Source organism: Homo sapiens, chromosome 2 (assembly GCF_000001405.40).
Source record: "Homo sapiens chromosome 2, GRCh38.p14 Primary Assembly".
NCBI lineage: Eukaryota > Metazoa > Chordata > Mammalia > Primates > Hominidae > Homo > Homo sapiens.
This window is the reverse complement of record NC_000002.12, coordinates 25,561,360-25,577,786: the sequence shown is the minus strand read 5'-3', so window position 1 is coordinate 25,577,786 and position 16,427 is coordinate 25,561,360. Positions and strand designations below refer to the sequence as shown.

The following is a 16,427-nucleotide window of genomic DNA, read 5'->3' as shown; positions in this document are numbered from 1 at the left end:
TCGTGATCTGCCCGCCTCGGCCTCCCAAAGTGCTAGGATTACAGGCGTGAGCCACCATGCCTGGCCTATCCCTCTTTTCTATTAACTTCCTTTTCTTGTGTTCAGAGTTGAATTGTCAGAGGAAATAATTATGCTACCAACATTTAAAAGTATAAATAGTGATCTGTAACATACAGTTGTGTATTGCCCTTGATAGTACATTGGAATGATTAGATTAGAATCATTAGTCTGTGTTGAATTTTTTTTTCTGATGTATTAAATCTTTTTTTTTTTTCTAGTAAATGGCTAGTTAGACTAGCAGACAATTTAGATTCTTTAGTTCTAATTTTGTTTTGTTTTGTTTTGTTTTTGAGACAGAATCTTGCTCTGTCGCCCAGGCTGGAATGCAGTGGCATGATCTCCACTCACTGCAGCCTCTGCTTCCTGGTTTCAAATGATTCTTGTGCCTCAGCCTCCTGAGTAACTGAGATTACAGGCATGTGCCATCATGCGCAGCCAATTTTTTTGTAATTTTAGTAGAGACAGGGTTTTGCCATGTTGTCCAGGCTGGTCTCAAACTCCTGGTCTCAAGTGATCTGCCCACCTCAGCCTCCCATAGTGCTGGGATTACAAGGGCAAGCCACCGCATCCGGCTCTACTTTTATTTTTACCTTTGTTTTTATATTAGTTTTGGTATTCCTCTGTATTGACTTCATTCTCCAAGTGAAATTTTATTCTTTCTTCTTTTATTCTATCCCTTCCCTCCTGCCCTTTTTTCTCCCCTTTTCTCTCCTGTCCACAAGTCTTCCATCCCGTGGAGTGCTCCTACTGCCGATGTGAGAGTATGATGGGTTTCCGGTACCGATGCCAGCAGTGCCACAACTATCAGCTCTGCCAGAATTGCTTTTGGCGTGGCCATGCCGGCGGCCCTCACAGCAACCAGCACCAGATGAAGGAGCATTCCTCTTGGGTAACTGCTTTGTGTTTCATCTGTGTCCCTGAGTGTTAATCTGTTTGATCAGTAACAGCACCTGGGCCAGTTTCCTCATGGATGCCTACCAAATAAGGGTGTGATATAGTAAAATCTTAACACTAACATTTATGCCAGGATTGCAAAAATGTTGTGCTTCCTCACTTGATTTTAAAAGCAGAATTTTTAAAAATTCCAGGAAACAAAGATAGTACATTTGAAATGGTCTCTTTTATTCAGTAAAATGGAATGTTGCAGTGCTCTCTTTTCAAAGCAAAAAGTGAGTTTCTTTTTATTTTAAAACTGTACAGGCTGGGCACGATGGCTCACACCTGTAATCCCAGCACTTTGGGAGGCCGAGGCAGGCGGATCACGAGGTCAGGAGATCGAGATCATCCTGGCTGACACAGTGAAACCCCGTCTCTACTAAAAATACAAAAAAAAATTATCCGGGCGTGGTGGCAGGCACCTGTAGTCCCAGCTACTCGGGAGGCTGAGGCAGGAGAATGGCGTGAACCCGGGAGGTGGAGCTTGCAGTGAGCCGAGATTGCGCCACTGCACTCCAGCCTGGGCAACAGAGTAAGACTCTGTCTCAAAAAAAAAAAAAAAAAAAAAACAAAACTGTTCAAGGGGATTCCGCCCCCCCATGCTTATTCTTTTGAGCTCTAAGTAAGACTTAAAGTTCTTTTTGCAAGCAAAATTTCCTCACTTTTATAGGGTTTAAATGTGCAAGGAAAGTTGCAGAAAATAAAGGAGTTAAGTATTTATGCCTGTAAAGTTGGAAAAAACATTGTATTTTACAACCATTGCCACATTGGTGTCTTTACCTTCAAAAGTAGTTTTTAAAATAGTAATATCTTGGCGGAAGTCAATATCTGATTTTTCTGTGGTTCTTATAAATTATGTAACATGGTTATCATCAATTATTTTCCTTCCTTTCTCTCAGTTTATTTCCAGAGTCCTAAAAATGCCATATTTTCCCTCCAAAAAGTTGCTACAGCCTTTGTTTTAAAATCTTTCCTCTAGTTTTTGTTTGTTGGTTGGTGGTTTGCTAAACAGTAGAAAAACATGTAAGGTCAGAAGTATAATTCAGGATCTAGGTTCTTTAGCCTGGTTATCCTATTGGCCTTCAAGTATTAGAAAGCTTTAATAACCAGTTTTTATTTTCCCTTTGGTTGTCTTAAAACTCAACCAAGAAAAAGCAAATAAACTCACTTCAGGAATTAAAGAAAAAAGGAAAACAAACTTCAACCCACATCTACACTTAACTCTAGTTCCTTCATCTCTGAAAATCTGTTAAAGATCCTTTTTTTTTCCTAGATAGGTTTCTGTTATAATTAATGATAAAATTTTGTTAAACTGAATATCCTATCCTGGGTCTTGTTGTGTTGTGAATTCCATTTTTTTTGGTGGTGGTGGTTGTGAAGAGCCACTTTTAAAATCCAAAAAAAGGAAAAAAACACAGTAGTTTCTTTTCTTTTTCATTGAATAAAGAAAATTTACAGATTTTCAAATTGTTTCTTTTTGCTTTCTTAAAGTACAAGTACTTCACTATGTTAATTGTTAATGTTTTTTCCACTGGTTTTTTTTTTTTGTGTGTGTGTGTGTAGAGTCTAATTCTTTACACTGGGATAGTTTTTGCTGTTTTACCTTTCATGATGACTGAGTTTGCTGGTATATTTCTACTGAAAATTCTTATTCCGGATGTTGGGGCTAAGAGAATTGGGAACTTCTTATTCCCCCTGGTTTGAATTTCCTCATTTGGCTAACCTATAACTCTTTTAAAAATGGGGGTTTTGTATTTGTTTAGAGACAAGTGACTGATACTGCTTTATGATTTGCATGTTTTCATCTACTCTTGAATTTTTTCATTGAGTTATAAGATACATACAGAAAAGTATACAAATCACAAATGAATTCTTACATTTCTGTTTGACCCTCACAGCACTATTGTGAACTAAGTCTTATTTGCATATGTTGTTATTCTTATTTCAGCTTGTTTTATGAATTCCTTTATTTTTGTTAAAGAGACTTAAATTTTTTTAAAAATAAGCATTGTTATCCTGCATAATTTTGAAGCTAGTGTGATAAACGTATTAGTTCTGAATTTTGATGGATGTATGCCTTGTGTATGGTAGATGCATACTGGTAAGGCTGAGTAAAGAGGTTTCCAGCTAACAAAAAGATGTGCTATCAATTTAATAGTAATTTCTTTGAGATTGTCGGCTGTGTTTATACTAACGTTTTGAACAAATGTTTCTATATGCTCATACGTGAGTTTAAGTGTGTGTTTAACCAGCTAGTATAAGAATTTTCATTGTAGATGTGACATATGAGTTTTAAGTAGTACCTGGAAGTTTATTTTGATTTTTCCAAAAATTTCTGTTGAATGTTTTATCTCAGTAGCTATGCAGTATAATTCATTCTTTTAGTCTTTGGTCCATTTTGTTTGCCTTTATTACAAAGAAAATGCCGTATGGTACCATATCTGAGATTTATCCTGTCTGTTCATTCTTTCATTCAAAATTTATTTTTTAAACACCTACTGTGTGCCAGGTCCTGTAAGAGGTATTTGGGATACATCTATGAACAAACCGGACAAAGACTCCTGCCCTGTGGAGCTTAAGTTTTAATGAGTGTGAAAGAGACTGCTGGAGCTTGTCAGCATTACTTTTTTCCTATTCTTGTTGGCACATGTCTAGACTACACTTTTCAGCCTTCGTGTAGCTAAATGGAACCATGTGAGTAGTTCTTGCCAGTGGAATGCGAACAGAATGATAGGTGTCTTTCCAGAAGAAGACAGTTAATAAATAGCAGGGTGCCTTCTGTACCCTCTCTGCTATCTTGGTGGAAAGAACGTCATTAGGACTCCGCGGAGGGTGAAACCATTAAGCGAAAGGTAACTGGGTCCTTGAATGATGGATGGAGAAGAATATCCAGCAACCCACTTGACTGTGATGGAGGCATGATAAGAACTTTGCGTTAAGTCACTGAAATTTTAGTACTAGAAGTAGAGTTCTGTTAAAATCTTAAGATGTGTGTTATTGTCTTAGCAGTCACGTGGCACACTTGATGAGGAAACTGACATTGGAGAGGGAAAGTCAGAAACCCATGTTATATAGTGGTAACCAATTTGGTAAATGTGTCATCTGTGATAATTTGGAAGGCACGCCTCACACCCACCGGGCTCTAGGTCAAGTGTTGGAAAAGATCAGAATGTGAGACTGTTAATGGTAAGGTGACATAGGATAGAGATGAGCTTAGAAAGAATTGGCTAGTGTACAAGCAATAAATGAAAGGGAACAGAGAAAGCTCTGACTCTTGGGGCAGTGAAAGGAAAAACAGACTGCTTCCAGACCCTAGAGAGAAAGCCTTAAGAGTTGAGAAAGGCTTTAAGCCACAAAGTCCTAGTAGACCTTCTCAGTTGAAAAAGGTGACCCAGTCCTGTGGTAAAGATCAGATGAAGGGTATGGTCTCTTTTTCTTGGCTGATTATCAGAATCCCCTTTGGTTCTGCCTGCAGAGATTCTGATTTATTGGTCTGAGGTACATGAAACCCTGGATATAAACAGTTTTTAAAAGTTCCCCAAGTGGGCCGGGCATGGTGGCTCACTCCTGTAATCCGAGCAGTTTGGGAGGCCAAGGCGGGCAGATATCTGAGGTCAGGAGTTTGAGACCAGCCTGGCCAACATGGTAAAACCCTGTCTCTACTAAAATTACAAAAAATTAGCTGGGTGTGGTGGCGGGTGCCTGTAATCCCAGCTACTTGGAGGCTGAGGCAGGAGAATCGCTTGAACCTGGGAGGCGGAGGTTGAGGTTGCAGTGAGCCGAGATCGTGCCATTGCACTCCAGCCTGGGCAAAAAGAGTGAAACTCCATCTCAAAAAAAAAAAGTTCCCCAAGTGATTCTATCATACAGCCAAAGCCAGAAGCAACTGACCTTGTTCATATGGCCTCCAGGTGGCTTCTGTTAGTTGAAAGCAAGTGGCAAAGAACTACATTAGTCTTAGGAAAGAACTTTTTGTGTGTGGTTACTGGCACATGGAATCAACTGGAAACAAATAGATCAAAGGCCTACTAAGTTTCTGAGGGAATTACATTGGCAAAGAAATTATGAGCCTGAACTGAACAAGCCCTTAAATATTTGAGCTATAAAACTACTATTTAAAAAAAAAAAAACAAAAAACCTCTGAGAACTTGGTCTGGCAGGGTAGGTTGATGGGTTGTGAAGGTTGTGCAGCCCCTCTGGAGGGTATGCCAGAGCCCACCTGGCCCAGAAGGATATCGGATAAGGAAGAAACTCCTGCTCCGGCTCCACCGTTGTATATTGGGAGCAGGAAGGGACGGTGCAGATAGTTTTTTTTTTTTTTTTGGCGATGGAGTCTCGCTTTGTCGCCCAGGCTGGAGTGCAGTGGCGCGATCTCGGCTAACTGCAAGCTCCGCCTCCTGGGTTCACGCCATTCTCCTGCCTCAGCCTCCTGAGTTGCTAGGACTGCAGGTGCCCACCACCACGCCTGGCTAATTTTTTGTATTTTTAGTAGAGACAGGGTTTCACCGTGTTAGCTAGGATGGTCTTGATCTCCTGACCTCGTGATCCACCTGCCTCGGCCTCCCAAAGTGCTGGGATTACAGGCGTGAGCCACCGCGCCCGGCCTGGTGCAGATAGTTTGCCTTTTTAGTTCATAGATTGCATCTTAAGGAGTTCTGTATGATCCTTATGAAGAAGACTGTGCCATATCCAGAGATCCTGGATGCACCGACTGAATTGGACTGCACGTGTTCTGCCTGGGCATGTGTGGCATGGTGGGAGGAGGCAAGGGTGCTCTGTGCATAAGAAAAGGGAACAAAAAGGTACCTGAAGATTGAAGTTTCAGTAGTATCCACGGTTTCCTTTGCTTAAATTCCACTGGAGAGAACTAGTCATATAGGCCCATCTGGCCACAAGGAGGGTATGTTGTATATTATATATATATATATCGCTTCTCAGCCAAGGCAGTTTGAAGCAGGTGTGCCTCTGTCTTTACCCCCCACTGCCGATATACATTGACCAAATAGAATGGTCTCCAAAGGAACTGGCTGAGGCAGAAGTCCTCAGATGGAGGAGGCTGGGCACCTGCATGGATGGAGCACAGCCCTTCTGCCAACCTGCATGGGACTCTAACATGAGCAGAGTAGCAAGTGGAGTCAGGAACTTAGGGCTGGGGAGATTGGAGGTTGAATAGGGAAGTCATATAGGCCTTGTTGAGAAAATGAGATTTGAGCACTCTTAGAAGTTTACCAGCAGAGATCTGGGGAAGAGAAGAGGTAGTGTTCAGGGTAGGGGTATACCTGTAAATCCAGGGAAAGAAGCCAGCATGGCCAGAATGCAATGAGCAGGGGAGGATTGTAGGAGACAAGGTGAAAACATTAATGTGGGCCCATTGACCATTGTAAGGACTTTTACTCTGAGTGAAATGAGGAGTCTTTATAGGGTTTTGAATAGAAGAATAACATGATATGATTTATATTTTTAAATGGTCAGTCTAGATGCCATGTAAAGAGTAGACAGTAGAAAAGAAAGAGAGGAGCAGAGAGACCATTTAGGAGAAATTCTAATGATAATTAAAACAAGATATGGTCGGACAGTAGTAAAGGTTGTAAAAAGGATTGAATTACAATATGTTGTATACATCAGCCTAATGGGTTGGATGTGGCTTGTGAGAGCGGAGGAGTCAAGGAAAAGTCTAAGATTTTGTCCTGAGCATAGAAGGATGGAATTGCCATAGACTGAGATGGGGAATGCTGTGGATGGAGAGCATTTAGATGTTAGGATCAAGGATGAACCTTGATTCACCGTTTGTTCCGGACATGTTGAACTTAAGTTGCTTATTAGATATCCGTCCATATGGAGTTGTTGAGGTCATTGTATATTATGAGTCTAGAGTTTAAGAGAGAAGTCTGAGATAGAAGTATAAATCTGGGAGTCAATGGCGTATATTTAAAATAGCCATGAGACTGGGTGATACCACTTACACCATGAAGAGAATGAGTGAAGATAGAGCAGGAAAAAGAGGAGTAAGAACTGACCCTTGAAGCTCTTCAATATGAGGACATCTGGGAGAAGAGGAAGATCCTGCCTCCAGTGAGGTGGGATGAAAGCCAGGAGAGTGTGTGTTCTGGAAAACAAGTGAAGAATGTGTTTTGAGGAGGAGGAAGTGATCAACTGTGTCAAATGCTGCCAACAGTCAAGTAAGGAATAAGAACTGACCCTTTGTCTAACAATGTGGAGATTGTCTGGAGAACAGTTTCTGTGGAGTGATGGGGGCAAAAACCGATTAAAGTAGGTTTAAGAAAGATGGAGACAGCTAGAATAGCTAAGTCTCCTAATGAATAAATGAATATCTATTTCTAACCCATTTTTTTTTCTTCTTTTTTTTTTTTTTTTTTTTTTTTTGAGACAGGAAACCACTCTATTGTCCATCTGGAGTGCAGTGGCGTGATCATGGATCACTACAGCCTTGACCTCCTGGGCTCAAGCAGTCCTCCCACCTCACCCTCCTGAGTAGCTGGGACTACAGTCGTGTGCCACCATTCCCAGATAATTTTTGTAGAGACAGTGTTTTGCTAGTTTTGCCCAGACTGGTCTCAGACTCCTGAGCTGAGCACAAGTGATCTGCCCACCTCTACCTTCCTGTGCTGGGATTACAGGCATAAGCCATGGAGCCCAGCCCTCCAACACCATTTCCTTTTTTTTTTTTTTTTTCCAGATGCAGTCTTGCTTTGTTGCCTAGGCTGGAATGCAGGGGCACGATCTCGGCTCACTGCAACCTCCCCTTCCCAGGTTCAAGTGATTCTCCTGCCTCAGCCTCCTGAGTAGCTGGGATTACAGGCGCCCGCCACCACGCTCGGCTGATTTTTGTATTTTTAGTAGAGACAGGGTTTCACCATGTTGGCCAGGCTGGTCTCAAACTCCTGACCTCAGGTGATCTGCCCGCCTCGGCCTTCCAAAGTGCTGGGATTACAGTCTGAGCCACCACGCCCGGCCACCATTTCTAATAGTAGTTCCTATTGGAATTTTAGAAGACTCATTAGTTGCACTTCACTTTTCCTCCCCACAAGATGACAGCCAGGAGTTAGGCAAATGGCAGTCTGTTTGAGAAAGTAGTTTTAATTGTGGGGAAACTGTGGACTTGCCAGTAGCCCCCGAATCAAATATACCCCCACCCAACTGCTGGCATTTCCAGCAGGGAGCAGATCCTGAACATTTATGGATCTGGGTGGAGAGGAGAATTCGTGCTCTCTGCGGAGTGTGCAGATCCCAAGAAAAAAGGGAGAGGAAGGGGTTGATCTAGGCATGTTCATTTCCTTCTCTAAAACCAACCAGTCTGATTAGGAGAGGAGTGAGTGAGGGTCAGAGAGTCCCTCTACCTGGAAATAAGAGAGTGGACAGTAACTAAATATTAATTTTTGTATTCAAACATGCAAGGTTATATCAGTCTTCTTCTTTGAGACGCTTGATAAATATTTGAGTAACCTTGCCATCAGTACTGTGGTGTTCCAGTGACTCTTGCTGCATAATAAGCAGCAAAAGTTAGTGACATTAAACACCAATCATTTGATTACACCTGCAGATTTGGATGGGGTAGAGGGTTGGCTTTTTTCTGCTCCATGCCATCTGGGGCCTTCGCTGGGGTGACTGAAATACCAGGGTTGGAGGATGTGGCTTGAGTGACTGGAGGGTTCTTCCCTCCTGTGTCTGAATGCCCTGGGATGGGGAAGGCCGGGATCTGCTGGAACAGACACTGGGGCCACCTATGTGTGTTCTCTTAATGTGGCTTGTGCTTCTCACCTCTTGGCCGCTGTGTCTTAAGAGACAGCATCCCTAGAGGAGGCATCCAGACAGCAGTTGTCCAGGAGAGCATGGCCGAGGCACAGGCCTTTCACCCCAGGCGGTGGGAGGAGTGCAGCCTCACTTCTGCTGCGTTCTGCCTTATGTGAAGAGTCACTGAGGCCAGCCCAGAATGAAGGGGAGGAGAACGGGACTCCACTCATGGTGCCGGTGATGGTTGTGGGAGGGTCACATTGCAAAGGTGCCTGTGTGGTGGAGACATTGTCGCAGTGATCTTCTACCCAGTATCTGTTTGGAAATTACACTCTGTCCCACATGGGATAAAGCCTTGTAATCAGAACAAGGGTTCCCACATAAGTGGTTAATTTAACCATAGTGATTATTATGTTTTCCTACTAAATTATACTTTTTGAAGGAAGACTTTATTAAAACAACTAACTATAATATTTACTAGGATTTTTATTACCATATTTAAATAGGTTAGTTTTTTTTAAGTAAAGTATTTTGGGTATATAATTGTGTGTGTTTTTTTTTAAATCACTATTAAATGGTCTTTAGCCTTAACCTTCCTTTTCCTTGATCTGGGCATACGTGCTTTTCTGATTCACTTTAAACCAAACTCCCTCCATGCCTGCGTACTTCCTTCCCTCCCTCCCAAGCTCCTATTAATTGTGTGGTAAAATATATGTAATATAACATTTACCATCTTAACCATTTTTAAGTGTATAGTTCAGTGGCATTAAGGACATTCACATTGTTGTGCGGCCATCACCAGCATCCATCTCCAGACCTTTTTCATTTTTCCCAACTGAAACTCTTCAACCTTTCTTTTCTTTTCCTCTTTTTTTTTTTTTTGAGACGGAGTCTCCCTGTGTCGCCAGGCTGGAGTGCAGTGGCGTGATCTTGGCTCACTGCAACCTCTACTTCCCAGGTTCAAGCGATTCTCCTGCTTCAGCCTCCCAAGTAGCTGGGACTACAGGCGCGTACCACCATGCCAGCTAATTTTTGTGTTTTTAGTAGAGATGCGGTTTCACCATGTTGGCCAGGATGGTCTCGATCTCTTGACCTCATGATCTGCCCACCGTGGCCTCCCAAAGTGCTGGGATTACAGGCGTCAGCCACCGCGCCCAGCCTTCATTCAGCCTTTCTTGATATGCAAGGAAGGCTCATAGCAAATATGCCTCCTTCTCTGCCTTCCATTCAGATCTCTGCTTCCTTGGTTTCACTTTACCAAGATAGATCTGATTCCCATCTAGTTACTCCTTGGCAGGAAGTCTCTCACTCTGTATGTCCATTGATACAAAATACGCCTGTACCACAGATACAGTTAGTAGAGGGCCTTCATGGAGGGTAGTTATGTAACTGACTGGTTGATAGTATGGAAATTTCACCTTTCTTCCCAGCAGATGGCAGAGTCCACCTCTGAACAAAGTTACTTATTGTGTTCTTCAAAATCTTCTATAAATGAGGAAGTATTTTGGATTTCTTTAACAATCTCTGTTAAATAAATATTGCTTTACTTAAAAAAATGTTGATGGACAGCTTATATATGTGCAGCATAGTTGTTTGGGCATTAGTGATAGCAAAAGTAAGCCATTCAGGGAGTCAGAGCAAATTTTCTCGTGACAGACCTGGATCAATTGAGATTGTTGACTTATCTTGGTCAGAAGCAGTGTTCAATTTCCATGTGACTGGTGTCCCTCTCCTCACATCTCTTGAATTATGAAAGATAATATGTATTCATGGGAAAAAGGTGTGCTTACTGAGCATGCTCCTGACCAGTTTTAAATAGCCACGTGTCATAATTAAACAATTAACTTTGTGCAAAGTACAAAACTAGACAATTTTTTTTTAACTTATAAGACAATATCCCCACTTGTGGCAAGCAAGAGCTAAGACATACACATGGAGAAATTAAAAACAGAATATACAAAATCAAGTCCTTTAACCCAATGGCCACCTCTTCTCAAAGAAACTGCTGAGGCTGGGTCTGCCATGCCCCCTGTCTCTGCTTCTATCAGTCAGTGTCCTTGTTTAAGCTGTCTGACCTCTTGTCTTGGGTGACACCAGCATTTTATCATGGTCTGTACTTCCTGCCTCAGCCCAGCTTTCTCATAAGTCAGTCCTCCACAGCTCACTTCCCTTTAGCACCGCTGGTCCTTGGCCAGCAAGCTGCCTTCACTTTCAACTGCTTCTCTGCACATTTCTTCCACCCCCTGTCTCCATTGAAATTTGGCTGTCCTGGAAGAACGCCACTTCCCTGCAACCCTTTCAGGTGGTTATTTATTCTCTCACATCCCATGCATTGACTATTAGGGTCAATTGACTATCGACTATTAGGGATTGACTATTAGGGTGACTGTTGACTATTAGGGATTGACTATTAGGGTGACCATGTAATTTATCATCAAAACCAGACCCACTTGAGTGTGAAAGGAGACACTATTAATTATGCAGGGACAACATGCATAAACTGTGATTATCTTGGACAAACCAGGACTTGTGCTTACTGTTTTAACTTTGTTTTTGCATTAAAAAATTACTACAAATTTAACTGCTTAAAATAGTGGAAACTTATTGTCTCCGTTTTTGTAAGTCAGAAGTCCAGGCTGTCTACTCCAGGTGTCACTGAGCTGAAATCGAAGTGTCAGTTGAGGCTGTAGTTATCACCTAGGGCTTAGAGGGCCTCCTGCTGGCTCCCTGTTCGCACAATTTGTTTAGTTGCACCTGTGGTGCTGAGGTCCCCATTTTCCTGCTGGCGGCCAGCTGAGGATGAGTCTCAGCTCCCAGAGGCTGCCTACAGTTTCTTTTCATGTGGCCCCCCATAGGCAGTTTGCAACACGAACATTTGCTTTCTTCTCGGCCAGCTAGAATGCATCTCTCTGATTTTCTTTCCTGCAACCAGCCAGAGAAATATGGCTTTTACGGGGTTCATGTGATTAGACCAGGCCCACCCAGTGTAATCTCCCTTTTGCCTTATAACATAATGTAATCGAAGGAATGATAGCTTATCATATTTATAGCTTCCACCCACACTCAAAGGGGAAGAGATCATACAAGGACAGGGTTCGCTGAAGGTAAACAGAATTCTGCCTACACTAGTCACCCTGATTATTTTTCTACCTGTTTTCCAATTAGCTACTTCTAGACTATTACGTCTTGAATCTCTTAGTTTTTTTAAAAAAAGTAATATTAGCAAACCAAATTTGGAAGAACATACAAAGGACTATACAACATGAGCAAGTGAGAATTACCCCTGAAATGCAAAAGTTGGTTTGCATGCAAAAATCAGTATAATATACCTTGTTAACAGACTAAAGGATGAAAAATAAGATCATCTCAATAAATATGAAAAAGGAATTTGACAAAACCCAAAATTCTGTCACGATAAAAAAAAAATGCAATAAACTGGGAATAGAAGAGAACTTTCTCAACCTGAAAAAGGACATCTATGAAAAACCCACAGTGGTCAGTCAGAGTGGCTCACACCTTTAATCCCTTCGAGAGACTCAGGAGGGAGAATCACTTGAAGCCAGGAATTCGAGACCAGCCTGAGCAACATAGTGAAACGCTATCTCTACCAAAATAATAACAATAATGAAAAAAAAATAGCTGGGCTTGGTGGTGTACACTTGTAGTCCTGCCTACTCAGGAGGCTGAGGTGGGAGGATCACTTGAGCCTGGGAGGTTGAGGCTGCAGTAAGTTATGATTGCATCACTGGCACTCCAGCCTGGGTGACAGAGTGAGACCCTGTCTCTTAAGAAAGAAAAACCCACAGTTAACATCATACTTAATAGTGAAAGACTGAAAGCTTTTCCCCTAAAACCAGGAAAAAGACAAGGATATCCACTCCTGCCATTTTTATTCAACATTGTACTGAAGGTCCTAGCCAGGGTACTTAAGCAAGAAAGCAAGCAAAATGCATCCATATTGAAAAGGAAGAAGTAAAACTACCTCTCTTCACAGATGACATGATCTTGTATATAGAAAATCCTAACACACACAAAAAACCATTATAGATAATAAATTTACCAAGTTTATAAGATACAAAATCAATACAAAAATATTAGATTGGTGCAAAAGTAATTGTGGTTTCCCCGTTACTTTTAATGGCAAAAACTGCAATTACTTTTGTACCAACCTACTTCAAAAAATGCAAAAATTAGTTATATTTCTCTATATTGACAATGAACAATCTGAAAATGAAATTAAGAAAACAGGTTCATTTACAGTAGCATCAAAAAGAACAAAATAGGATTATATTTAATCAAAGAAGTACTAAACTTGTGCACTAAAAAGTGGAAAACATGGCTGAAAGAAATAGGCCGAGTGTGGTGGCTCATGCCCATAATCCCAGCACTTTGGGAGGCTCAGGTGGGTGGGTCACTTGAGGTCAGGAGTTTGAAACCAGCCTGGCCAACATGGTGAAACCCCATCTCTATTAAAAATACAAAAAAAAAAAATTAGCCAGGTGTGGTGGCGCGTGCCTGTAGTCCCAGCTACTTGGGAGGCTGAGGCAGGAGAACTGCTTGAACCTGGAAGGTGGAGGTTGCAGTTAGCCAAGATCGCACCACTGTGCTCCATCGTGGGTGACAGAGAGAGACTCCATCTCAAAAAAAATAACAAAAAGAAGAAATTAAGACCTAAGGAAATAGACATGCTGTGTTCATGGGTTAGAAGACTTAACATTTAAAATGACAGTACTCCCCAATTCATCTACAGATTCAGTGCAGTCTCTATGAAAATCTCAACTGCTTTTCTGCATAACCCCATAAACTGATCCTAAAATTCATATAGAAATACAAGAGATCCAAAATGGTCAAAGCAGTCTTCAAAAAGAGAAGCAAATTTGGAGGCTGAGGCAGGTGGATCACAAGGTCAGGAGATCGAGACCATCCTGGCTAACACGGTGAAACCCCATCTCTACTAAAAATACAAAAAATTAGCCGGGCGTGGTAGCAGGTGCCTGTAGTCCCAGCTACTCAGGAGGCTGAGGTAGGAGAATGGCGTGAACCTGGGAGGCGGAGCTTGCAGTAAGCTGAGATCGCACGCACCACTGCACTCCAGCCTGCAGCCTGGGCGACAGAGTGAGACTCCGTCTCAAAAAAAGAAAAAAGAAAAAAAAAGAATAGCAAATTTGGAAGACTCACACTTCCTGATTTTAAGACTTACTTCAAAGCAATAGTAATCAAGACGGTGATACTGGCATGAAGATAGAATTGAGACTCCAGAAATAAACCCTTGTATTTGTTGTTGTCGATTTTTCAATGAGGGTGATGACCATCCAATGGAGGAAAGAATAGTCTTTTCAAAATATGGTGCTGAGACAACAACTGGATATTCACAGGCAAAAGAATGAATTTGGATCCCTGCCTTATACCATATGAAACACGAATTCAAAATGGATTATAGACCCCTTAATGTAAGAGCTACAACTATAAAACTCTTAGAAAAAGAGATTAGATGTAAGTCTTTATGACCTTGAGTTAGTGCCTTCTTAAATATACTACCAAAAGCTCAAGCAACAAAAGAAAAATAGACAAATTGGACTTCAACAAAATTAAAGATTTTGGTGCTTCAAAGGGTGCCATCAAGAAAGTAAAAAGATAACCCACTGAGTAGAAAATATTTACAAATCATGTATCTGATAAGGGACTTGTATCCAGAATTATAAAGAACTCTTAAAACTCAGCAACAACAAAAACAACACCCCAACTAACCCAGTTTTAAAATGGGTAAAGGGCAAAATAGAATGGTCGTTATCAGTTGGGAGGAGAAAATGGGAAATTATTGTTTCATCAGTATAGAGTTTCAGATTTGCACGATGAAAAAGTTATGGCAACGTGAACATACTTAACACTACTACTGTACTATACACTTAAAAATGGTTAAGGTGGTAAATTTTATGTTGTGTGATTTTACCAGTGAAATATGTAGATTAGGCTGGGCATGGTGGCTCATGCCTGTAATCCCAGCACTTCGGGAGGCTGAGGCAGATGGATTGCTTGACTCCAGGAGTTTGAGACCAGCCTGCCCAACACAGTGAAACCCCATCTCTACACAAAATACAAAAATTAGCCAGGTGTGGTGGTGGGTGCCTGTAATCCCAGCTACTCTGGAGGCCGCAGGAGGATCACTTGAGCCTGGGAGGTGGAGGTTGCAGTGAGCTGAGATTGTGCCACTGCACTGCAGCGTGGGTGACAGAGTGAGACTCCATCTCAAAAAAAAGAAAAAAAAGTAAATTGGGGGAAAAAATGGGGAAAGGATCTGAATGGGTGTTTCTCCAAAGAAGATATACCAATGGTTGAGATGCACATGAAAAGATGTTTAACATAATCATGAGGGAAACACAAATCAAAAACACAGTGAGGTGCTATTTCGTACCCAGTAGGACAGCTAAATAAAAAAGACTGACCATAACAGTGTTGACAAGGATGTAGAAAAATCAGAACCCTTATACTTCGTTGGTGGGAATATAAAATGGTATAGCCACATTGGAAAACAGTTTAACAGTTTCTTAGAATGTTAAACATAGACTCACCATGTGATCCAACAATCTGCTCCTAGGTATACACCCTTGAGAACTGAAAATACATGTCTCCACAAAAACTTGTATGTGAATGGTCATGGCAACATTATTCCAAAGAGCTAAAAAGTGGAAATAACCCAAATGTCCATCAACTGGTGACTGGACAAAGTGTAGTTTATCAATACAATGGAGTACTATTAGGTAAGCAAAAGAAATGAGGTACTGATACACACTAAAACATAGGTGAACATTGAAAACATGCTAAGTGAAAAAGTCAGACACAAAATGTCACATATTGTGTTACTCCATTTATGTGATATGTACAGAATGGGCAAATGCATAGAGACAGAATGAAATATACAGAATAGGCAAATGAACAGAATGTACATTAGTAGTTTCCGGGGGCTGGGGAGAGGGAGGAATGGGAAGTGGCTGCTGAGTATTGGGTTTCTTTTTTAGAGTGATGAAAATGTGCTGAAATTAGATATTAGTTATGGTTGTACAACTCTTTGAATATATTAAAAACCACTGAATTTTACAGTGGGTGAATTTTATGGCATATGAATAGTATCTCAATGTATTCTTTTTTTGCATTACTATAAAGGAATACCTGAGACTGGGTAATTTATAAAGAAAACAAATTTAATTGGTTCATGGTTCTGCAGGCTGTGCAAGCATGGCACCAATGTCTGCTCAGCATCTGGTGAGGGCCTCAGGAAGTTTACAATCATGGTGGAAGGCATAGCAGAAGCAGGCAGATCACAGGACGAGAGCAGGGGCAAGAGGGGGAGAGGAGGAGGAGCCAGCTCCTTTAAACAGCCAGCTCTCCTGTGGACTGAGAACTCACTCATCACCAAGGGAATGGCACTAAACCATTCTTGAGGGATCCGCCCCCATAATGCAGTCACCTCCCACCACGCCCCACCTCTAACACTGGGAATCACATTTCAACATGAGATTTGGAGGGGACCCACATCCAAACCATATCACTCAATAAAGCTATTATTTTGTATTTTAAATTGGATGGCTAGGGAAAGCCTTTCTGAGGTAGTGACATTTAAACTGACATTGGAATGACTAACTTGAGGTTGGTAGTTGTGAATTCAGCTTCAGACCAGTCAG

At 41.5% G+C, this 16,427-nt stretch overlaps 1 protein-coding gene across 31 annotated transcripts in view, besides 4 other annotated features; it reads left to right on the top strand.

Moving 5' to 3' along the window:
* DTNB (dystrobrevin beta) overlaps positions 1-16,427 on the top strand; it is a 296,335-nt gene that overhangs the window by 95,791 nt on the left and 184,117 nt on the right. For all 31 annotated transcript variants that reach the window (NR_147180.2, NM_001320935.2, NM_001351393.2 and 28 more), the window contains one exon: positions 783-949. Coding sequence is in view for 29 of the 31 variants with exons in the window: in NM_001320935.2 (NP_001307864.1) it covers positions 783-949 (167 nt within the window). In the remaining 2 variants the exon portion in view is untranslated. The remainder of the gene's footprint in view (positions 1-782; positions 950-16,427) is intronic.
* Positions 13,167-13,311: an enhancer, noted in NCBI's record as "145 bp 2:25787416 sequence used in MPRA reporter constructs". NCBI's record gives its function as "activates a minimal TATA-containing promoter with rs58031038 allelic activity by MPRAs in C283T melanocytes {active_cell/tissue: C283T}" and the evidence as "EXISTENCE:reporter gene assay evidence [ECO:0000049][PMID:36423637]".
* Positions 13,228-13,239: a transcriptional cis regulatory region, noted in NCBI's record as "rs58031038 or 2:25787416 MPRA-significant variant associated with a GWAS melanoma risk locus at 2p23.3". NCBI's record gives its function as "allelic transcriptional activity by MPRAs in C283T melanocytes {active_cell/tissue: C283T}" and the evidence as "EXISTENCE:reporter gene assay evidence [ECO:0000049][PMID:36423637]".
* Positions 14,039-14,183: an enhancer, noted in NCBI's record as "145 bp 2:25786543 sequence used in MPRA reporter constructs". NCBI's record gives its function as "activates a minimal TATA-containing promoter with rs55982007 allelic activity by MPRAs in UACC903 melanoma cells {active_cell/tissue: UACC903}" and the evidence as "EXISTENCE:reporter gene assay evidence [ECO:0000049][PMID:36423637]".
* Positions 14,111-14,112: a transcriptional cis regulatory region, noted in NCBI's record as "rs55982007 or 2:25786543 MPRA-significant variant associated with a GWAS melanoma risk locus at 2p23.3". NCBI's record gives its function as "allelic transcriptional activity by MPRAs in UACC903 melanoma cells {active_cell/tissue: UACC903}" and the evidence as "EXISTENCE:reporter gene assay evidence [ECO:0000049][PMID:36423637]".